General features: G+C 39.5%; 1 protein-coding gene across 1 annotated transcript in view, besides 1 other annotated feature; it reads right to left on the bottom strand.

The window, feature by feature from the left end:
• UTRN (utrophin) overlaps positions 1–24758 on the bottom strand; it is a 567700-nt gene that overhangs the window by 395235 nt on the left and 147707 nt on the right. The window contains exons 10-19 of the mRNA NM_007124.3: positions 21662–21865; positions 20054–20235; positions 18905–19055; positions 17329–17448; positions 13418–13519; positions 10482–10589; positions 10019–10198; positions 9031–9200; positions 6307–6430; positions 3931–4018 (exon numbers count right to left, since the gene is read on the bottom strand). Of these exons, the coding sequence (NP_009055.2) occupies positions 3931–4018; positions 6307–6430; positions 9031–9200; positions 10019–10198; positions 10482–10589; positions 13418–13519; positions 17329–17448; positions 18905–19055; positions 20054–20235; positions 21662–21865 (1429 nt within the window). The remainder of the gene's footprint in view (positions 1–3930; positions 4019–6306; positions 6431–9030; positions 9201–10018; positions 10199–10481; positions 10590–13417; positions 13520–17328; positions 17449–18904; positions 19056–20053; positions 20236–21661; positions 21866–24758) is intronic.
• Positions 23678–24180: an enhancer, noted in NCBI's record as "H3K27ac-H3K4me1 hESC enhancer chr6:144754756-144755258 (GRCh37/hg19 assembly coordinates)". NCBI's record gives its function as "activates a minimal SCP1, AML or CMV promoter by ChIP-STARR-seq in primed H9 embryonic stem cells {active_cell/tissue: H9 hESC(primed)}" and the evidence as "EXISTENCE:reporter gene assay evidence [ECO:0000049][PMID:30033119]".

The raw sequence follows: 24758 nt of genomic DNA, 5'->3' as shown, positions 1-24758 counted from the left end.
AAAAACAAAGGCATAAAAACAAAAAGTCATGTATGATCCACAGACAATGCAACTTTGAAAATTTTTATAATACACTGTGTCTACTGAAAATCATAAATGAGGGCATATCATGCTGTCATTTGAATGTGTCACCTATGTCAATTGCAGAAGTTCACTGTTCACCACCATCTCTCAGGTAAGAGAATATGAGACATAAGCAAAGCATTCACACCACAAGCCATGCTGCATTACCCCTGTTAATGGGGAGAGTATACAAAACAAATCACCATTTTCCTAACAATATGAACAATGGAGATATGGGTCATGCCCCTGCCCCATCATTTCTATTCTAGGCAGGCAAAGGAATAGTAACACCAGCCACATCATCTTTATGTTGGACAATTCATACTAATCAAGGAAGAAAATTAAGTAGGTAAATAAAATTTCTGAGATGGAAAATTACCACTACTCATCTAGAAAACTGGAAAGAGGTGCTCACTTCAAGAACAAGGGCGGTTAAAACAACTTCAGTTATTTTTTCACTGACAATGTCTTACAAGCCATTCATTTTGCCTCTTTAAACCAATTTTAAACATCTGAATCTCCCTTTCTCTAATCCTGAGATATTGCTGGTTACAGTGATGCCCGGTAATGATTCAAACACAATTTACATCTTATAAAAGGAAAACTGCACATTGTCTTTAAAAATAGTTGTTTTACTCCCAGAGATCCAGAGTTTAAAATTTTCTATTTCTATAAAACACAGAGTTCTTAGAAGGTGACTAGTCAAAAGGCAAAATCAACAGAAGATCACTTTATTAATTGTCTAAAAGGGAGAACATAGAACACATTCCTGCCACTCAGTCTCACTTGACTTTACACTTCTCAGTCTATCACTATTGGAATCAAGGGAAACGTTTACAAAACATAGGACCTTCACCAAACTTCCTGGGCTTATATGCTTAGGCAACCACAATGGGCATTGATTCATAAAGCCACATTATCCAGATGCCCAACTACTCTACTGTATTTTACTAGATGAAGAGCTCTAGGAACAAGATAAGCTAAACGAAGAAAACCAAGTATATCAGCTATGAAAGTCAAATGAAACACACTATTTTATTTATTATTATTATTATTATTATTATTATTATTATTATTATTATTTTGAGACAGAGTCTTGCTCTGTCACCAGGCTGGAGTGTAGTGGTGCAATCTCAGCTCACTGCAACCTCCGACTCCCTGGTTCAAGCGATTCTCCTGCCTCAGCCTCCTGAGTAACTGAGATTACAGGCATGTGCCACCATGCCCAGCTAATTTTTGTATTTTTAGTAGAGACGAGGTTTCACCATGTTGCCCAGGATGGTGTTGATCTCCTGACCTCGTGACCCACCCACCTCGGCCTCCCAAAGTTCTGGGATTACAGGTGTGAGCCACTGCGCCCAGCCTCACGCTATTTTATTTTCTAAAATTGTTTCTATGCTCTATGAGATACCTCAAAACTTATGTAAAATGCATTAGGCAGGAAAGACCTATCAGAATTGGCTATGGTGGGCTTTTTGATGGAACTGGTTTCAGAAAAACAGTGACGTGATTATTCAAATATGGGTTTTACTGAAGAATTTGACATGCCTCCCTAACTGAACTGGAACACACAGACTTTATCCAGTTCAGCTCCCCCATTTCTCAGCTTCCCACTGTTGTCCTAAAAAAAATTTTTTAATAGATGCATCTTTAAAACAAAAAAGAATTAGGGTCCTCTAATGAATGCATTTCTAATTCCACCAATGCTTGAAAAAACATGATAATACAAACTATAAAAGGTTTCCTATGAAATTGGGCAAGTATACATTAGGTGACAAAAGCCCCATGTCAACTATTCTCCAGTGTTGCCTTTGGCCTTTTGCAAGTAGCACTTTCATGTGAACTCAATGTCCAGAATGTGTCTATTTAGGACCCATTTATGGTAGAATTTTATGGACCAAAGCCTATAGTCAGCTAATAAACTAATAGTCACCTGATAAACTAACAGCTAAGAGTCAGCTAATAAACTCCCTCATTTTCCAGACACCAAGGCAAAGAAACAAGGGTTCCAAGACTTTCCCAAGGATAAGAAACTAGAAAAGGACAGGAGAATCCAAGTTTGCCCATTCCCCCAATCACTGTTATTCTCACTATAACATCACCTCGCACCAACTTCTCATCTACATCAAGTCTCCCCCATCTTCATAATTCTGCCACACTGCTGAAAACCTGACAGAAATGGGAGTAAATTCAGTACACAGATTCAAGAAATTATCCCATATTCACATCAGATAAAGTCAGAGTCACCAGGTACAATGCTGAGGTAGAAGTAAAAAATCTATGCTTGTAAAGGAAATAAATTCAACATCCAATGCATTATAATTATTGAATGAATCTCAAGGGAAGTTATCATCTGTTTGTGTCTCTGGATCTCTTCAAGTAAATACTGGAAAGAGTAACCTCCAAGTGGGATGCCCACAGGAAGGACAACTAAGACAATCTGCTAGAATGGATTTTGAAAGAAAATATTAAATACTATTCTATTTAATTTATTTAAAGAAAGAAATTAACATTTATTAATAATAAATGGATTGATAATACATTTGCATAATTTCAAAATAAATGGACATACACTGTCCACATGGTATACATTCCATATTTTGTGTGTATGTGTATATATCTATATATGTTTGTGTGTGTATATATGTTTCTGTGTGTTTGTGTGTGTGTGTGTATACACATATCCAGTATACATACTAAATAAATAAACATATTTGTTAAAGGCTGGAGGCAAAATAATCTAAGGTCAAAACAACATGAACAGTTGTTTTCTGGAGGGAGGAAGGTGACTAACCCAAAAGAGAAATTTCTGGAAAGATGGAAATTTTCTACAGTGATGTGTGTGTGTAGGTTACACAGGTATATCTATTTGTCAAAACAGCACAGCTAAGTCATGTATTTCAATGTAAGTAAATTTTACTTCCAAGAAAACTGTAAAAATAGTAATAATTGAGAGGCTGAGGAACGAGTAAAGGTATAGATAATTCAAGAATGGCAGAATATTGTCAATTACTAAACTAGGTAACTGATACAAGGAAGTTCATTATAGTATTCTATTTGCTTTTATACAGTTATATTTTCCATAACAAAAAGTCAAACAATAAAAAATTAAATGCTACTGCTTTTAAGATTCTTGTCAAACTAATATTCCTAATTCTGTATAGGTATCTGTACAGGTGTCAAGGAGAGCTACAGCAGCCTTCCAAAGTGCTTACCATTATTAGACCAACGTACATGGAGTGCAAGAAATGTCTTTCAACATTTCTCTAGAACAAAGAGAGATTCATATGCAAAACTGCACATCAAGAATATTAATCTTTAGCTTATTCTGAGTCACTGGGAGCTACAGCAAAAAAAAAAGTCTTGGGAGCATTTAAAAATTTCATATATAAGTAACACCTTATCAAACTTAACTATAAAAATACTGTAGTAAATAAATATAATGCATTAAAAGTTATCAAAAATCAAATACCCTTAATGAATTTAACGTAACTTCGTTTCCCAAATGTTGCCAAGTAAAGTTTTCTTTTGCTACCACCCTGCAAACAAATTCCCAATATATAAACCCAAAGGATACAGTTTTAAAATATACTATGCTAGTGGGTTTTAACTGTTCTGCTAATCAGGGTATCCAGCCCCGACCCCATATAAAATCAGAACAACTTTGCTTTTATCTGCTTTTTTACAATCAGCTTCAGAATAAAATTTCATTTTTAAAGATTCTGCTGCCTAAAAACATTTTTGAAAACCATTTATCTAGCCAAAAGAGGATTCGAGTATTAAAGCAAAATATTTAATAGGGCAAACTGTAATATTATTCGATGCCACCATCTGAAAAATATAGGGGAAAAAAATCAAGGATCTTACCTTTTCCCATTTGCTCCACAAGGATTTGTCCAGTTTGGTTTAATTCATCTGCTCTGGGGATTCTTTCTCTCTGTTCTTTTTCTAATGCCTGCAAATGAAGTCCCAACATAAGAATATTGCAAACTTTCTTCTCAATATAATGTTGCTGTTTTAAATGTTTAAGTTGAATGGCCCTCCTACATTCTTTTTAAATCTGAAAAGGTAAATTCAAACGTAATCATAGCAACTAAAAAGCATTGGTTTCTTTTGTAAGAAAAAAAATGTACCTCATAATTATAAGCTCCTATTAGAAGGAAATAATTAAAATTATGTTTTAGATCCAGGATATCTATTCACATACATACCCTGAGTACGCCATGCCATAAAAATAATGGTTTGAGTCAAAAGAATTGAATGTGTTATGACAGAAGTTGTTGAACAAAAATTAACTAACAAGAAAAAAGGATAGGCTGGGCATGGTGGCTCACACCTGTAATCCCAACACTTTGGAAGGCTGAGGGGGGTGGATCACTAGAGGTCAGGAGTTTGAGACCAGTCTGGCCAACATGGTGAAACCCCAACTCTACTAAAAATACAAAAATTAGCCAAGCGTGGTGGCGTGTGCCTATAATCCCAGCTGCTCAGGAGGCTTAGGCATGAGAATTGCTTGAACCCGGGAGGCAGAGGTTGCAGGGAGCCGAGATTGCACCACTGCACTCCAGCCTGGGCAACAGAGCAAAACTCCCATCTCAAAAGAAAGAAAACAGAAAAAATGGATAGAAATATTTTGAGGCTCAGTATTATTTGTTTGGGTTATATTAAGTCTAGGGTTCAATGCAAACTTCAAGCACAATCATATTTCATACATAATTTTTAAATAATGAAAATAGTAAATATGCTTTAGAACCCAAACCAAAGCATTTTGTTCCTTTTTTTTTTTTTTTTCTTTGAGGCAGGTTGTCACTCTGTCACCCAGGCTGGGGTGCAGTGGCACAATCATGGCTCACTGCAGCCTCAACCTCCTGGGCTCAAAGGATCCTCCTATCTCAGCCTCCCGAGTAGTTGGAGTTACAAGTGCAAGCTCACGCCCCACAAATTTTTTTTTTTTTTTACTTTTTGTAGAGACGGGGGTCTCCCTATGGTGCCCAGGCTGGTCTCAAACTCCTGGGCTCAAGCAATCCTCCTGCCTTGTGCTGGAATTATAAGCGTGAGCCATGGCAAGCCCAACCCACATTTTGTTCTTTATGTTGAGGAATGGCTCCTAATTTCATTATTTTTTTTATCTCTATAGTTTGATACTCCCAAGACAAAATTCTTTCCAGAACTAGTAAGAATGAAGCAAGTAAAATCATGTATACACACAAAAACACAACTATATGTGCACACAACTCGGTATTTGAATTTTCTCTCATTCCTCCATCCCCAACTGATATTTATATATTATTCATATTTATATACTATTCAAATAGTATCCATCATAACACAATCACAACTTCTGAGCAACCCATATTACTTCAACCAGACAATCCAGAGAAGAATCCCAATTCTAAATTGTTTACATGTAAGTGCTATCAAATAAATTCAGCTATCCTACTTTGATTTTCACAAAGTTTACTGTGACTAGGTAGAACAACCTTCTTATAGTCAAAGATCAAGGAATATTAGTAAGAGACTCTAAGAAACACCGTTTATTTTGTCTAACTAAAGATCAATGTAAAAGTCACCATCGAACTGGAGAAAAAGGCAATTATCTACTTTTTACAAGTTGATTTTTTGCTACCTCTTAAGATGGCAGGAGACTAGACTATAGATTCTCTACCCAGGTGCCCAAATAGTTAATGCAGTAATGTGTAGGAGACGTATGAGCACCCAGGACAAAAAAGCTCTGCAAGTTCCCATCACACTCTTCAGAAACACACATAAGCATGGAAAGCGGCAGGGCTAAGATCCCACACCTTTTAATTGTATTTATTTTTTACAACTCTAAAGAAAATATATTGAATACACTTTTTGATTTAAAATAGTTTGTTGTATTCCGAAGGCAAAACATCTTCAGCATAATGTTAATATAGAGTCATAAATTATTAGATACCAGATTAAGGGTGATCTAAACTAACTAAAAAGTAGTACCACTAACTGGATCACCATAAGAAGTATTCCTCACTGTACATCTCAGTGACTGACAAAGATGAAAAAAAAAAAACGTCCTCCAAATAGGGATCTGATGACAGCTAGCATGAATGGATTCAAAATTCACTACAATGTACTAAAAGCTACCTTCTGCCTACATTTATTTTACAGGAGGCTTTTGAATTCCATAATGTCTTTATGCCAGCAGAAAATCCAGCATGATGAACTATTTTATGCACTAGGATATATGTGGTTTATGTTTTTTACCTTCAACTTCTTTTTCATTTCGGAAGTGTCTTGCATCTTCATATACTCTTTTATCTCTGTGGTCTGAATGGCAGTTTTCCATTTCAAAATCCAGTTCAACAGCTCTGCACTTATAGCATCAAACCTGTTTGAAGATTCAGAGGTGACCATTTGTCATGTTTCCTTCTACTGTTTTACTTGACTCCAGAAAGAGCAACTCAAATGCTCATCAGGAATATGTCTTTTTATCACTCCCCCAAAAACAGCAACCCAGAAATAGGGTAACCATGCAAAATGAGATCATATATTTACAACTAAAAGTATGAAAAGAGTAATAATATTATAGGGTTAATAAACAATTGAAGAAAATAATTAAATAATTTGTTGTTGTTGTTGTTGTTTCGAGATGGAGTCTCGCCCTGTCACCCAGGCTTGAGTGCAATGGCACGATCTCGGCTCACTGCAACCTCCGCCTCCAGATTCAAAGGATTCTCCTGCCTCAGCCTCCCGAGTAGCTAGGATTATAGGTGCCCACCACCACACCCAGCTAATTTTTGTATTTTTAGTAGAGACAGAGTTTCACCATGTTGGCCAGGCTGACCTCATGATCGGCCCGCCTTGGCCTCCCAAAGTGCTGTGATTACAGTCATGACCCACCATGCCTGGCCTTAAATAAAAATTTTTAAAACTTTACATATTAAAACAATTTTCACCTTTATAAGGAATCACTTGTATTTTTATAAATGCTTATAGATAATAAAAACCAGAGTTGGTTAGATAATCAGCAAAGAACAAGTACAGACATTACTAAAGTTAACATCTTCTTTTGTTCAATATGTAATGATTGAGCCTTACTAAATGTCAGGCACTGGGCTGGGCTCTTGATATGAAAGTGAACCAGATACAAATCTCAGCTCCCAAGGAGCTTCTAGTCTAGTAAGCAATGGAAAGTAACAGGCAATAACAAAAGAATTTGCTAGGTGCTAATTCCAGGAATTCACAGGAGTGGCTTCTAATCCAATTGGGGCATGGATGGCTTCCTAAAGGAGAACAACAGCATTACACTGAGGAGTTTCCCTTGCCAAGGGAAAGCAGAGAAAGGGAAGATCACATTTTGCAAACTGCAAGTATTAGTTAGGCGTGTCTGGAATAATGAGTACTGAACTCACAAGGGAGGGACAATTGACGATGTGGCCAAGAATCACATGGACCAGCTACAAGAAGGCCCTGCAGGACATATTAAGGAGTTTGGACTTAACCCAAAGGCAGTTGAGAGCCAAGGGAGAGTTCTATGCATGGAACTGACATGATTCTATTTATCCTTTAGTGTTCACTGAGGAGAAGGCATTAAAGAGAGACGAGTCGAGAACAGGCTGTGAAAGCAACGGGAGTCACAACTAAGATAGTAACAGTGGGAAGGAAGACGAAAGGACAGGTTTGAGAGGTGTTGAGAAGGTTGGTCAAAACCACAGCAAGGAGGAACAAGAGGAGTCACGATCACTGATTGCTGGCCTTCTACCCGGCCCCTTTCTAAGTGTTTTATGTCTATTATTAACTCAAGGAATCCTCACCAGCACCCTAAAAAGTATACACTATTATTATCCCCTTTAGAGATGAAGGTACTGAGCTCACAGAGGTTTTCAGTAACTGTCCCATGTCACAAAGCTAACAAAGGGTGAGGCTGGGATTCAAACCAAGACTGTCTTCTTAACTAGTACCCTCCCCACAGAGCTTCTCGATACATTAAGCAGTGGCACAAGTCGTTATTGCTGATTCTTGTGAGAAACTTTGCTTAAAGTGTTTCTGGTGAACTATGAATATTTTATCTTTTCATCAAGGTAGATTTTCCCTGTAAAATGTGAGGGATTTTGTGATGCTCTAGATAAATATCTGGGGTCAAGGTATTGCTCAAACAGGGATATGTTCCTCCTGTCATCTTAACAGCAGCTTTCTATTTAATATTTCAGAGAAGAGACGGCCATCTAAAAATCGCACGTTTCCAATGACCTTGGAGACTCAGTCAGCATCTGCTCTCAATATGGGCAAGAGTGATGCAATGATCGCAGGTCACAGGAACAGGTGTCTACATTCTAGGAAATGACTGTCCACTGTACCGCGAGCTGGTAAAAACCACCACCACAGCAGCACCAGGGGAAGAGAAGTGGAAATGAGCTGCCATTTTTTAAGCATATATTTTAAACTAGGCACTGCATTAAGCAGTCATTTAAGGCCCTCGATTATTGGGGTAGTCCATTTTAAGGCAAACCAATAGTGGTTTCTAGAGCAGACAGAAGATATAAAAGGGTCTGGAAACCATGTTAATAGGAATGGTTAAGGATCCCCTGCACTTTCTGACAATAAAAACTGGGGAAGCTATATTCAAAGACTGAGGAGGTCACTGTCGAGTTGTGACAGTGAAAGAAAGAATAAAAAGACAGTCATGGACAATCATATCCTTCCAAGGAGAATAATGGGAAAGGAAGAAAGAAAGCTTCGATCACAAAGTTCTCCCAATTGAACACAGGATAAATAAAATCATCCAAGAAAATTTGGATGCTTAGCTAGTGCCAAGTAGAATATTCAGAAGACAGGGGCAGTGAGTGGTTCAGTAGTTGACTTTTCATAATAATAATACTTATTATGTCTAGATTTGCCTATGATTAATGATTAGTACAAAATAGGCACCAAGTAGAAAATATAGTATGTGCAATATTGGATTTGAACAATTTCTCTATCTCTTCTCACTTTTTCTTAGCTTCAATATCCACATGGATCTGTCTCTTCTTTGGGGGAGGAGGAGGAGGCAGTTCCTGCTTAGATTTTTTTGTAATTGCTTGTTCTCTTACACGAACAGTCTCCAAAAGGTCCTTCTGAGGAATCTGAGACATCCCCAGCTTTGCTACAGCCTGAGTCACCTGAAATAAAAGCCATCCAAAATTTCAATGTTTATAACAGCTTCATTGAGATGTAATTCACATGCTATAAAATTCTTTCTTTGAAATACACAATTTAATGGTTATTAGCACATTTATACAGTTGTATAATCATCCTCACAGTCTGTCTCCAGAACATTTTATCACCCCAAAAAGAAATCCCATAGCCATAAACCAACACTCCCCATTCCCCACTCCCACCAGTGGCAACCATGCATTTACTTTCTATCTCTGTGGATTTTCCCCTTGTGGACATTTCCTATGAATGGAATCATAGCGTATATAATCTTGCGATTGGCTTCTTATACTTAGCATAGTGTTTTCAAGGTTCATCTATGTTGTAGCATGTGTCAATACTTCGTTCTTTTGTATTATCAGATAATATTGTATGCATACACCACATTTTGTTTATCCATTCATCTGTGTATGGATATTTGAGTTGTTCCACTTTTTGGCTATTATAAATAATGCTGCTAAGAATATCTGTCTACAAACCAATGTTTTATGTTTGACTAATTCATTAAAATATTTTTAAGATTAATAAGATTACTTAAGATTTAAGATGTTAAGATTATTTATTGGCTAAGTATAATCAGTTACTATAAATTAAATTATAGGATATTAAGATAATCTATTAAAACTTACTTTAGAAAACTGAAGGTGATTTTCACATGTCAATTTTTCATCAGGTGTAAGGAAACAACTTTTTAGTTTATTTCATACAAATTAAAACTAACCTGAACATTTAAATTTTAAATGTTTACTTCATGGCACAACATATGATCCAAATCAAAAAGTACCTGGTTGGAGGAATCTTCTAGTCTCTGAACCAAAGAATCCCATCTTTGAGTCAGTTCCTCTGAGTCACTGTTGATCTTCTTAGATGCCTTGGAATTATCAAGTAATTGTCCCACATCCTGGCCAATCTCACTCAGCTGATCCAATGTTTGACGCTTCATTTCCATGTCTTCCTTCAAAATCTAGTATTTCAGATATTTATTAGATGACTCTTTTTAACAGGACTTTGTCTTTCTGTTCCCCAGCCAAAAATTTTAAACATGTATCTTTTATAGTAAAATGTACATGCTTTGCAGTTCACTATGCTAAAAGGTAAGACTCGTGGTTCCAGATTGTTACAGGGCAGCAGTCTAATGCTAGGTAATGAGCTGTAATCTGCATTCACTAAATTCTACTAACCATTAGCTATAAAACATTAAGATATCATAGGCTTACAACACAGATGCTGACAACCCCATCACTTACAGCCAGACGTCGAACACTGACACTTAGTTCCTTTTGGTCTTTGAAGTTGCTTGTCTGGACTTTATTTAAAGCCTCTTCTTTTTCGGTTAACCAAGCTTTCAACAAGCACTACAAGTAATAACAAAAGTTGAACTTTATCTGCAAAATCATTTGGTAATTCAATTAAATCATGCATCCAAATTTCTAACTTTTATTTTATTAGAGGCTTCACCCTTACATGGGGATAAGAAGGCCTTCAAACACCTAAGTCTGAGGCACAAATGACCCAGAAAGATACCTTTCTTTAAAATATTATCCTTCTCAGATTTGTAACAGAACAATCAGACATTAGCCTCATACCTAGGGAACTAAACCTAATTCTCAAGGAGATAGGTGGAGGGAAAAGGGAAAATCCAACTATGCAAGTCTCCAAAGGAATTACATTACAACTTCCTAGAGGCAGAAGTAAGCTCGGAGATTGTCTTGTCCCAGCCCCTCATTTTAGAAAGGAAGGAAAGAGAAGTCAAGTTACATGTCCCAGATCACTTGGATAGTTAATGGCAGAGCTGGGTCCAGGGTCCACACCCCAAAACCAGTGTTTTCCATGGCATCATGTAGGAAATCCACACTAGCATTCAAGGTTCAACAGCAATTATGATTAAAGGAGGGAGTCTGAAGAGCACCCAAAGCCCATATAAAGATTTTTCAACTTCATTGGACAACAATGTGTGTTTTCTAAGCAGAGGATATTCAGTCATGTAGAGAGATAATCCTGAAGAAGGGATGGAAAACAACCGTAGCTACATTGTGATAATTTCTCCCAAAATGTAGCATTTAGGGTGGAAACCCTTTTCTATTTAGTAGGGAGGAAAACAACTTGGTTCTGTATTTGCAACGGAATCAATTCTTTCTCAGCAATTTTATTTATGAATTAAATATTTAACAACTATTCCTTGCCTCTATATTTCACCCCCCAATGGATACTGTCCTCAGTCTAGTGAGGCTGGTAAGATATGCACATAAATAATGATGCCATCAGACAGAACATGTAGACAGTACACACACACACACAAAAGGTATAGTTAAAATGTCAGATCATTATAGAACACGATGAAAGGTCAGTTTAAAACCTAAAGTGGTACAAGTGACTGAAATACTAGCACTCTATTTTTAAACTGTTTTTTATCATCAAATTAAAATTATTTCCAAATTTGCAATTACTTTACTGGATAGAAGAGTAACACAATGGTTTTCTCTAGCAATCGATGTCTTCTACTGCAATTATTACTATTACTATTATTTTTATTTTTTGAGACAGAGTCTCACTCTGTCACCCAGACTGGAGTGCAGTGGTGCCATCTCGGATCACTGCAACCTCTGCTTCCTGGGTTCAAGCAATTCTCCTGCCTCCATAGCCTCCTGAGTGGCTGGGATTACAGGTGCCCACTGCAGGCCTGGCTAATTTTTTGCATTTTTAGTAGAGACAGGTTTCAACATGTTGGTCTGACCTCAAGTGATCTGCCCGCCTCGGCCTCCCAAAGTGCTGGGATTACAAGCGTGATCCACCGCGCCCAGCCTTTCTACTGTCATTATTGAAGTAAAATTTTAACTATTCTGAGACTTTTTGGCCTAAATACAAGGTTCACAATAAACATAAATATTTATAAAGTGAAATGTAAATATTTGTAACATGAAATGTAAACATTTCATAAATCAGAATCAGGTCCCTTTTGTGATTCCTAATAAGAAAAATCTGACCACAGATTGAGGGCGGGGGGGGAAGTAGTCATTAACAATTTATATTTGGACAAATTCTGCAACTATCTGCCACCATATTTAGTAAGCCACAAAACATCACACACTTGAGTTTTTTCCCCTGAAGAGAATATAGTTGCTTCTTATAGATGGAAATGAAATGCATTTAAAAGAATCAAAATGGACACTGAGAGATGTGGGAATAGAGTATTTGCTTTTTTTTTTTTTTTTTTGAGAGGGAGTCTCGCTCTTGTCTCCCAGGCTGGAGTGCAGTGGCACAGTCTCGGCTCACTGCAACCTCTGCCTCCTGGGTTCCAGCAATTCTCCTGCCTCAGCCTCCTGAGTAGCTGGGATTACAGGCACCCACCGCCACACCTGGCTTATTTTTATATTTTTAGTGGAGACGGGGTTTCACTATGTTGGCCGGGCTAGTCTTGAACTCCTGACTTCAAGTGATCCACCTGCCTCAGCCTCCCAAAGTGCTGGGATTACAGGCGTGAGCCACCCTGCCCGGCCAGTATCTACTTATTTTTTAAACCACAACTGTTTGGCATTTGGGGAGAAAAGTTTTGTTTATTTGTATTTTGTTTCAATGGTTGCTTTTCTGGAAAGACAGAGAACAGGCAAAGAGCCACCAGTCCTATTGAAAAATTAAGGTGGCAGCTTTGTACAACAGATTCATTTGCTGTGATAACACTTAGTGGAAAAAATATGCAATTAATCCAGTGTTAAATCAAAGGTGTGACTAAATAATATTTTCTCATTAATTTCAATACTTGTTAAAAATCAAGAAAAAATCTAGGGAATTAAAGTTCACAGTGTGTTGAGTGGATTCATTACTCATTATTTACTGAGCACAAATTATATGCTAGGCATTGTGTTGATACAAATTCAAATACATCACCCAACACAAATCCACTAATAACTATGATGTCAAACAAATCATGAAAATAGCATATCTTCTAAGTACTAACATTCCAAGTAATGAAAACAGGTCAAATTAATGGAGCCAAATGACACAATCTCTGTGAATAAGCTTCATGATCAGTTATAAACTGGATAGAAATTTGATCTTTAAAATAATTATTTATATATTTTCCTTTCAAAGAAAAGTAAACAAGGCAACTTTATTCTAAAGTCACAATAAAAGATGGGTTACTTTTCACCATTTATTTTGCCCCTTATGGAAAACAGTTTCATACCTGTTCTTCCAATAATTCCTGCCACAATATATTGATTTCTTGTAACCTATTCCAGCGTTCTTCAGTCCAACGGCATACTGCTGTCCAGCGCTCACCAAGTTTCTAGAAAAAGGAGAAACCATCCTTTGTCAACACAGCCTTAAGAGAGAGTTATCACAATCCTTGAAGAAATTCATGATTTCCATTGTTCTTTATTATAGAATAACAACTTATAAAAAGTATTTTTATAAAAATTGCTTTAAAATAACAGACTAGGCCTAGAAATGTATGAATCAGAAAAACTAATTTCCATAGAATTGAACAAATGATTTCACATAGCTAGAAACTAACATAATAGAACTGTATCCTCTGAATCTTTGACTCCAAACCTGCTCTTTCTATTTCATTGTGGTTTTTATGAGAATATGACATTTTTACATATTATTAAAAAATAAAACAAACATATCTACTTTTTGTGCTTCAAATTTTTCAAATTTTTAGCTAAAAAAACCAGCATGTCTGTTATATTCCTTAACTCTCTTTTACATGCCAAGAAAATTTTCATCTGTGGTACCAAAATTATGAAAAATGTTTAACTTATAAAACCTGTTTTGAATAAGAGAATTTTTATGAGACAATAAAAAAATCAAATGATTTGTTCTGTTTACATTATGTGATCCATAAAAAAATTCCCCATAAGTTACATAAATTAGCAATAGAATCTTACTAGTATCAGCAATACTAAATAAATTTTATTAATTATAAAAAATCACTCTTCATGATTATTTTCTCCCAAAATCATTTTATTACAATTTTACAAATAATGATTAACAAATGTTAAAATTTATTTTTGTACTATATACATGTGAACAAGAATTATTTAATTCATATTATACTATTTTGATACTTAATATGAGAATAAGCTTTTCATAGTACAAAGGGGGAGAAAACTTAAGAGCCAGAAGATAGATTTCCAGTCTCAGCATGATAACTCATTGTCTATTTAAATCTCAGGAGGACTACTTAACCTCTCTGAATCTCAGATTCCTTACTGCTAAATAGTCAAGGCATGAATACTTAGCTCTCAGGTTATAATAACTAACTACTGCATACAAGTCTTAGAACCTCTGGCTGACTTTAAATATCACAAAAGCAAAAGGACCTCACGTGATGAAATTACAGTTTGGATTGCCTCACTTAATGAGGCATCATATTTAAATAAATTGGCAACGTCTTACCAGAAAATCCAAGTATTGTTCAAATGAAATACCAATAAATTTATCTGTTAAAGACTTGTAAAGATACACTATTGCCTTTGTGCAAAAAGAAGCAATTTTGGGAGGTTTCCAAAACTGTTGTTGAAATTCACATATTAATCTACCGAAAACACTGAGATATTGAATCCTACTAGGTGAAATTCTCAAACTTTACTATGCACATGATTTTTCTTACATTGCAAATTCACTGCATCCCTCCCTCACCTAGATTTAGGTAGTGGGTAGAGCCTAGGAATCTACATTTTAACAAGCTCCTCAAGTGCTTCTGAGAAGAAGTCAGTGGATCACTTAATAAGATCAGCTCCTGTGTGATATGGTTTGCCTGTGTCTCCATCCAAATCTCATCTTGCATTATAACTACCACAGTTCTCACATTTTTTGAGAGGAACTTGGTGGGAGGTAATTGAAGCATGGGGGCAGATCTTTCCCATGCTGTTCTCATTATAGTGAATAAGTCTCACGAGATCTGATGGTTTTACAAAAGGGAGTTTCCCTGCACAAGCTCTCTCTCTTTGCCTGCCACCATGCATGTAAATCGTGACTTGCTCCTCCTTCCCTTCTGCCATGATTGTGAGGCCTCCCCAACGATGTGGAACTGTAAGTCCATTAAACCTCTTTTTCTTCCCAGTCTCAGGTATGTTTTTATCAGCAGCATGAAAATGGACTAATATAGTAAATCGGTACCAGTAGAGTGGGGTGCTGTTGAAAAGATACCCTAAAATGTAGAAGTGACTTTGGAACTCGGTAACAGGCAGAGGTTGGAAACATTTGGAGAGCTCAGAAGAAGACAGAAAAATGTGGGAAAATTTAGGGTACCTGTGGAAGAAATTTCTAAGCAGCAAAGCATTCAGGAGATGACTTGGGTGCTGTTAAAGGCATTCAGTTTTATAAAGGAAACAGATCATAAAAGTTTGAGAAATTTGCAGCCTGACAATGCAATAGAAAAGAAAATCTCATTTTCTGAGGAGAAATTCAAGCTGGCTGCAGAAATTTGCATAAGTAACAAAGAGGCAAAAGTTAATCACCAAGACAATGCGGAAAACATCTCCAGGCATGTCAGAGGTCTTCACATCAGCCCCTCCCATCACAAGCCCAGAGGCCTAGGAGGAAAAAATGGTTTTGTGGGCTGGGCTCAGGGTCCCCGTGCCTTGTGGCTAGGTACTTGGTGCCCTGCATCCCAGCTGCTCCAGCCATGACTAAAAGGGGCAAAGGTACAGCTCAGGCCATGGCAAAGGTGCAAGCCACAAGCCTTGGCAGCTTCCATGTGGTGTTGAGCCTGCGGGTACACAGAAGTCAAGAATTGAGGTTTGGGAACATCCACCTAGATTTCAGAGGATGTATGGAAACACGTGGATGTCCAGGCAGAAGTTTGCTGCAGAGGTGGGGCTCTCATGGAGAACCTCTGCTAGGGCAGTGCAGAAGGGAAATGTGGCCCAAACAGAGTCCCTACTGTGGCACCACCTAGTGGAGCTGTGAGAAGACGGCCACTGTCCTCCAGACCCCAGGGTGGTAGATCCACTGACAGCTTGCACTATGCACCTGGAAAAGCCGCAGACACTCAACACTGACCCATGAAAGCAGCCAGGAGGGGGCTATTTCCCGCAAAGCCACAGAGGCAGCACTGCCCAAGACCATGGGAACCTACCTCTTGCATAGGCGTGACCTGGATGTGAAACATGAAGTCAAAGGAGATCATTTTGAAGCTTTAAGATTTGACTACCCCACCGTATTCCATACTTGAATGGGGACTGTAGCCCTTTTGTTTTGGCCAGTTTCTCCCATTTGGAACAGATGTATTTACTCTTTGCCTGTGCCCCCATTGTAGCTAGGAAGTAACTAACTTGCTTTTGACTTTGCAGGCTCATAGGCGGAAGGGACTTGCCTTGTCTCAGATGAGACTTTGGACTGTGGACTTTTGAGTTAATGCTGAAATGAGTTAAGACTTTGGGGGTACTGTTGGGAAAGCATGATTGGTTGTGAAATGTGAGGACATAAGATTTGGGAGAGGCCAGGGGTGGAATGATATGGTTTGCTTGTGTCCCCATCCAAGTCTCATCTTGAATTGTAACTCCCACAATTCCCACATTTTAAGTGAGGAACCCAGTGGGAGGTAATTGATTCATGGGCGCAGGTCTCTCTCTTGCTGTTCTTGTGATAGTGAGTAAGTCTCACGAGGTCTGATGGTTTTAAAAAAAGGAGTTTCCCTGCACAAGCTCCCTCTCTTTGCCTGCCACCATCCATATAAAATGTGGCTTGCTCCTCCTTCCCTTCCACCATGATTGTGAGGTCTCCCCAGCCACATGGAACTGTAAGTCCCTTAAACCTCTTTTTCTTCCCAGTCTCAGGTATGTCTTTATCAGCAGTGTGAAAACGGACTAATACACTGTGCTTCCAAATCTTGTCATTATGCACAAGGAAGCTGGGGACTGCAACCAGCCCCATCCATTCACCCCAAGAGCTGAAGTAAAGGAATCAATACCTGGGTACTCCTGTAGCCCACACACTGTAGAACCCCAACTGAGAAGTACAATCAAAGGTAGGTTTTTCTACCCTTCTGGATAAAGAATGAGAAAGGACATGAAGAACAAGGGCAATATGTAATTGGGTCTCAGACCACAGGTCCCTCAGGATTATCCAACTTTACAGCACTCTTACCTGTAACTGGTCTTCTAGGATAGCTGTAGCACTCTCACCACTGTTTTCATCAACAATGACCACCATGTGAGTTAGTGAATTTACTTTCACCTGTTCAGCCTCAAGATCACTTTGCAAACTCTAGAGAAAAAAATTAAGATAAACCATTATTTCTACTTTCACATTTACCTATTTAAAACGCACTCAGTTGTCAATAGTAATTAAGGACAGTTAATGAGGCATCATATTTAAATTTCCAATCATTACCCTAACTGTTCTACTAATGAAACTAATCCTATTATACATCTTTACATTCCATTATCAACAAAGGCAGTTTGAGGATGCAGTGTTATAACAGACTGCAAATGGAGATATCACCACTTTTATTCAAGTTCTGGCCCTCCCTCAGAATTTATAGCATAAAGGAGTTGAGTGTCCATACTAGGAATTAATACAAAAATGTAGAAGTGGTAAAGCAAAAAAGTCCAGAGCTTAAATAAACCAAGTCAGAGATCATTTTATCTAGTGTAGGACAGTATAAAGAGATAAGTAGAATGCTACACGATAGTCAAAAGTTACTCTGATTAGCTACCCAATAAAGCAGTTAAAGAAGTATGGACACCTTAGATTCTCTCGCCTTTTCCATGGGAAGAGCATAGTCATTGGATACATGTGTATAGAAAATTTATAGGCTGGGCATGGTGGCTCACACCTGTAATCCCAGCACTTTGGGAACCCAAGGCAGGCGGATCACTTGAGGTCAGGAGTTCAAGACCAGCCTGGCCAACATGGTGAAACCCTGACTTTACTAAAAATACAAAAAATACAAAAAATTAGCTGGGTGTGGTGGCACACGCCTGTAGTCCCAGCTACTTGGGAGACTGAGGTGGGAGAATCACTTGAACCCAGGAGGCAGAGGGTGCAGTGAGCTGAGATTTTGCCATTGCCCTCCAGCCTGGGTGACAGAGCAAGACTCCATCTCAAAAAAAAGAAAGAAAGAAAGAAAATTTATTTAAATACTATCAATAGTGTTCTCAAATGCTTCTCAGAGTTGTGTTTAATGTATTCCTAAAGTTTTACATATTAGTTACCTCAATGTTTCACTGATCAATAAAAGTCTTCAATTTACAGAGAGCATATTTTATTCTATCTTTCCTTATCTTGACTATGAAAAGTTTATCTCCTAGACTTGTGACCAAATTAAATTGCCCACCCAATTTTGGTTCCTAACTTAATGCCTGACGCTTTCCTGAATCATAGACGAAGAATTTGCTCTTCACCCACACACCATGTGAACGCCAACATGCTTGGGTTCTTAGCCACTTAGAGGGCCAAAAGAACCCTTCTCCAGTTGTATGAAAGCTATGTACTTTCAAAAGAAAACTGCACATCACATATAAAATTTTACCGTGCCCTTTTATCCCTGGCTCAGAAAAGTCTCATCTCTATCAATTCCACCCTGTGAGCTGCTAAATGAAGACAACCCTGAAGAAGTGTCCCAACTTCATGTTAACGATAGATGTCATCAGCCTCTGAGATGCTAAGTGCTGCTCTTTCATATTTGATAAGGTATCGAAGAAATATGAGACAGATTTACTTTATGTTCTTCTAGCAGCTTTTGTAGAGATTTTACATCATCATCCAGGGGGCAAGTTTCCATCTTCTGAATGCGCTCCTCTGTGAGTGTTAACCAGGCGGAGAGCTGCTGCAGTTGCTTCTTCTGCAGTTCCATCAGCACATCGTGCAGCCTGTCCGTGGGGAACACAGCATTATTCCTACAAGCCTTTTCCCTTTGCAAAGTCAAATATACATTCTGGGCACCGGAGATACAGGGCAAGGGAAGACACCCTTGTCTAAACATTCAAGGTAGCATTTAGTCTTTAAATATAGAAGCCAGGAAAGTAAACTTTTATTTTGTCCTAAATGGAGTTCATTAAATGCAGACAAAGAATGCAAAAAGCAGCACCCTGTATTCATATCAGAATCATTGTTTCTTCAATCAGGAATTCCTGCTTATTAAATAGGTGGAAGTGGCAATGAATGCAGTTTGCTCCTTAAGACACAATACATGAAATAAAATAAACCATGAGAAAGCTTTAAAATAAAAGTCACAAAATGGAAAAGTAGATCAATACTCCATAGTCCTGTCTTCACACCAAGTTAATGTTTAGCTAATCTTAACATTGCAAATAAGTAACTGCCCCTATGAAATGTCTTTTCCTTTTTTTGGAGACAGTCTCACTTTGTTACCCAGGCTGGAGTGCAGTGGCTGAATCTCAGCTCACTGCAATCTCTGTCTCCTGAGTTCAAGCGATCCTCATACCTCAACCTCCCAAGTAGCTAGGATTACAGGCATGGCCCACCATGCCCAGCTAATTTTTGTATTTTTAGTAGAGACGGAGTTTCGCCATGTCGCCCAGGCTGGTCTCAAACTCCTGGCCTCAAGTGATCCATCCGCGTTGGCCTCCCAAGTGCTGGGATTACAGGCATGAGCCACCATGCCTATCCTCTTTTTCCTTTTTGTTAAATTCTGTATTCCAACTTTTATCTTTTGGTGTGGCTAACACATCAAAGGGGAAACAAAGATCATGCAGAATTCCAGCAATATTACCCGTAGAAAAGAGTCTTACTTTTCCAAGGCAAGTTCTGTAATCATCTCGCTTTCACAGACATGCAGACATCTACTAGAGCTCAACTGTGCAAAGCAGCCTGTGGAATTAAGTGCATTTCTTGGCTTTCCACTCACCGGGACTGTCTGTCCATACTCTCCACCCTAAGAGCCTCCCATCTAGCATTCAGCAGGGTCATCTGTTCCTGAATCTCAAATTCTTCTTCGTCTGACAGAGTTCCTTGTGTTATCAGTTGGTTGCCTGCCTGCAGGACGCTGCCCACACTGCTCTGGTGTGCAGTCAGTTCCATCATAAAAGCCTAGAAAGGGACATTGTTATAATTTGTGAGCTACTCAGTGCAAAAAAAAAAAAGGAAGACTGAACAAATTGCTAATGCCTAACCTAAATGTCAGTGATGCAGAAAAAGGTAGCCTAGTAGAGCGCAAATAAAATAGACATTGACCACATTTTTTAATCTCTGAAAATAGGAATAAACACCTGCCATAAGTTAAAAGAGAAATAGCTCAAAGCAAGCAATGATGCATCTGATAATACCAGCTATTTTAAAGTAAATGCTGACTATGCTACTCATAGATCATGAACATGGAATTCTAAATAAATAAAATAAAAGGCTGGGTGTGGTGGCTCACACCTATAATCCCAGCATTTTGGGAGGCTGAGGCAGGTGGATCACCTAGGCCAGGAGTTCAAGACCAGCCTGGACAACAAGGTGAAACCCCGTCTCTAACTAAAAACACAAAAAATTAGCCGGGCGTGGTGGCACATGTTTGCAGTCCCAGCTACTTGGGAGGCTGATGCAGGAGAATCACTTGAAGCCAGGAGGTAGAAGTTGCAGTGAGCCAAGATTGTGCCACTGCACTCCAGCCTGGGTGACAGAGTAAGACTCTGTTAAAAAAAAAAAAATTATAAATATATATATATACACACACATATACATATACATATATAATATATAAATAGATTATATATAAAAATATTTATATATTTTATTTATATATATTTATTTATATATTTTATTTATATATAAAATAAAATATATATTTATTTTTATTTATATATATTTATATATAAATATATATTTATTTATTATATATATAAATATATATATAAAATAAAATACCATACTCACCCAAGAGGAACTGTTTAAGAGATATTACCACTTATATTATTTTCTATCCAAAACAACAAATAAGATCTGTCAATTCACATAACTATACAAAAGAAAAATTTAACCAAAAGAAATCTCCATATAGTGAAATTCACTATGCTGCAATATAGTATGTCCTCAAAGGAGCAGGAAACTTTTATGATATGAAAAAATACAGGAACCCTGGGTATGACATTTGCTTAATCATGCAATTAAAAAGAATAATCATTTCCTAGGGAACACTCAAATCTTAAAGATTTGGTGTATTGGTTCACTCGTTTGCTTTTGAAATATAACAATGCACTTCAGAACTGAGCAGTACTATGCAATGATTTTCATCAGTGGCTCTCCAAAACACACAAGGAGACTAAAATCTAAAATCTAATTCTGAGGCACAGTTTAATCACCCATACCAATTTTGTGACAAAGCACTATTTAAATATCACAGTTCCTGAAATAAACCATTGACCTTTCCAAAGAACAGAATTCAGTAGATAACAAATAGGAGAGTAGAGTCCCTGATTAAGGCTCAGGTCCCGTGGGGGACACACCCTGCTAAGAAACTACAGATATTTACTTCATGGGTTGCAAACTGGTCTTTGACTTCTTCAACATCATCAGAAATATCATCCTGCTCCTGGAAAGTGTCCTCAGCAGAAAGCAACCAGGTCAGCACTTCCTCCAACGCAATCTGATAGCTGTCCAGATCCATGTCAACCTCAGTGACAGTGCTGGGAGTTTCAGCTCGGGGACTCTCATGCTCCTCCTCAGGCGCTGTACTCTGTAAAAACAAAGCCAAGAAAAACCCACACTAATCATCAAAGCAAGAGGTGTTCAGCAAACTCACACTGTATGGCGAACCCAAAGTACCCACCACTCTGTCTTAGGCACTAATCCAATTCTCAGGAGCCAAATGGGCACTGCCATGAATGAGTTAGAAGCATTGAGTAAGTGCACTAGGGTAGCAAAGAGTATAAAAGCAGCATGCACTCATGAATTCTGTACTCAAGGAGATTCTAATATAGTTAGGGACAGAGAACCCACATGAATCACTTCTGAACAGAAATTGAAGAACAGCTATTAGAAAAGTAAATGCCATGGTCCCAACAAGGCATGATATTTGAGTTCAACAAAGGCTAAAACAGGAAAGTTTCGTAGAGGAGCTGGAACGTGTTAGGCCTTTTCTGTAATTTAAAGAAAAAGAAAGGTGAGAATTCTGCCTTGACCCTTAGGTAAATTGCTTTTGCTGAACTGCATTTTAGCATTGCATTTTAGACACTAAAAGACAGCCACACAGGCTGCTGTACTGATTGTATTTTTCTTAGGCAGTTGCCCTCTGGTTTATCTGATGGCCTTTTAGGGCTCATGGAATAAATTTCTATCAACCTCTTTCTAAATAACTGAGTATTTCCATATATACTTTAAGAGCTTATAACCAAATTGACTCTCCCTAGTTCTTTTGTTCCCTTTCAGAGCAAGATTTCTTGAAGACTTGCCTACATTCTGTCTCTACTTTATCAACTCTCATGCATGATTTTTAAGTACAATATTTCAAATGTACAGAAACGTATAGAGAACAATACAAAAAATGCTCAAGTATTTAACAGCTATGGTTTGTTAACATTCCCTTTAACTTCAACTTGCTATTTGCCCCATGACTCAACTGAAAAGGCTTTTACCAATGTCATCAATAACCTTCCCATTGCCAAACGGACCTTTCTAGCATCATCTTCAGGGTGACCATATAATTAACCAACAAACTAGAGTATTTTTGATGATAACTGTGCTCAAACAACAAATCCAAACCAGAACTGTCCCAAGTAAGCCCGGAGAGCTGGCCACCCACGTTCCTTGCTTCAGACCTTGGTAGCACTCCTCAAGGCTGAGCAACTTGAGCTTTCAGAAGCTTGTTTCCCTGCTTCTGTGACACTGCCCTGGTTTCCTGCTGGTTCAACAGCAGCTGCTGACTCATAAGTAATGAATCTCCTCAAAATTAAGTTCTAGGCTCTTTTTTCTCCCCACTGTATACTGTGTCTGAGTAATCTCATCTACTCCTATTGGATTTAAAGAACATCTAGAACCACCTAGGAGTCTGGATTCCAAACTCTCATATCCCACTATTTTCACATCTCTACTTCAGCGCCTCCTAGGCATATTAAACCATGTCCATATTCAAAACCTTTACTTTCTTCCAAAGCTTGTTCCTCCTCAGACTTCTCCAACTCAGTAGATGGCTCCTCCCTGCAACTAGGTACTCCAGCTACAAACCTGGGAGCCAGCCCCAGCTTCTCTCTCCTTCATCTTCCACATTTAATACATAAGTAATTCTGACCTTCCTTCAAAACTTCGCTCCCTCTCCCTCCCCCTCCCCCTCCCCTCTTTCCACGGTCTCCCTCTGATGCCGAGCCGAAGCTGGACTGTACTGCTGCCATCTCGGCTCACTGCAACCTCCCTGCCTGATTCTCCTGCCTCAGCCTGCCGAGTGCCTGCAATTGCAGGTGCGCGCCACCACGCCTGACTGGTTTTCGTATTTTTTTGGTGGAGACGGGGTTTCGCTGTGTTGGCCGGGCTGGTCTCCAGCTCCTGACCGCGAGTGATCCGCCAGCCTCGGCCTCCCGAGGTGCCGGGATTGCAGACGGAGTCTAGTTCACTCAGCGCTCAATGGTGCCCAGGCTGGAGTGCAGTGGCGTGATCTCGGCTCGCTACAACCTCCACATCCCAGCCGCCTGCCTTGGCCTCCCAAAGTGCCGAGACTGCAGCCTCTGCCCGGCTGCCACCCCGTCTGGGAAGTGAGGAGCGTCTCTGCCTGGCCGCCCATCGTCTGGGATGTGAGGAGCCCCTCTGCCTGGCTGCCCAGTCTGGAAAGTGAGGAGCGTCTCTGCCCGGCCGCCATCCCATCTAGGAAGTGAGGAGCACCTCTTCCCGGCCGCCATCCCATCTAGGAAGTGAGGAGCATCTCTGCCCGACTGCCCATCTTCTGAGATGTGGGGAGCGCCTCTGCCCCGCCACCCCATCTGGGATGTGAGGAGTGCCTCTGCCCGGCCGCGACCCCGTCTGGGAGGTGAGGAGCGTCTCTGCCCGGCCGCCCCGTCTGAGAAGTGAGGAGACCCTCTGCCTGGCAACCGCCCCATCTGAGAAGGGAGGAGCCCCTCCGCCCGGCAGCCGCCCCATCTGAGAAGTGAGGAGCCCCTCTGCCCGGCAGCCACCCCGTCTGGGAAGTGAGGAGACCCTCTGCCTGGCAACCGCCCCGTCTGAGAAGTGAGGAGCCCCTCCGCCCGGCAGCCACCCCGTCTGGGAAGTGAGGAGCGTCTCCGCCCGGCAGCCACCCCGTCCGGGAGGGAGGTGGGGGTCAGCCCCCGCCAGGCCAGCCGCCCCGTCCGGGAGGGAGGTGGGGGGTTCAGCCCCCCACCCGGCCAGCCGCCCCGTCCGGGAGGTGAGGGGCGCCTCTGCCTGGCCGCCCCTACTGGGAAGTGAGGAGCCCCTCTGCCCGGCCACCACCCCGTCTGGGAGGTGTACCCAACAGCTCATTGAGAACGGGCCATGATGACAATGGCGGTTTTGTGGAATAGAAAGGGGGGAAAGGTGGGGAAAAGATTGAGAAATCGGATGGTTGCCGTGTCTGTGTAGAAAGAAGGAGACATGGGAGACTTTTCATTTTGTTCTGTACTAAGAAA

Source organism: Homo sapiens, chromosome 6 (assembly GCF_000001405.40).
Source record: "Homo sapiens chromosome 6, GRCh38.p14 Primary Assembly".
NCBI classification, from domain to species: domain Eukaryota; kingdom Metazoa; phylum Chordata; class Mammalia; order Primates; family Hominidae; genus Homo; species Homo sapiens.
The sequence above is the reverse complement of the archived record's forward strand: the minus strand, read 5'-3'. Positions and strand labels throughout refer to the sequence as shown.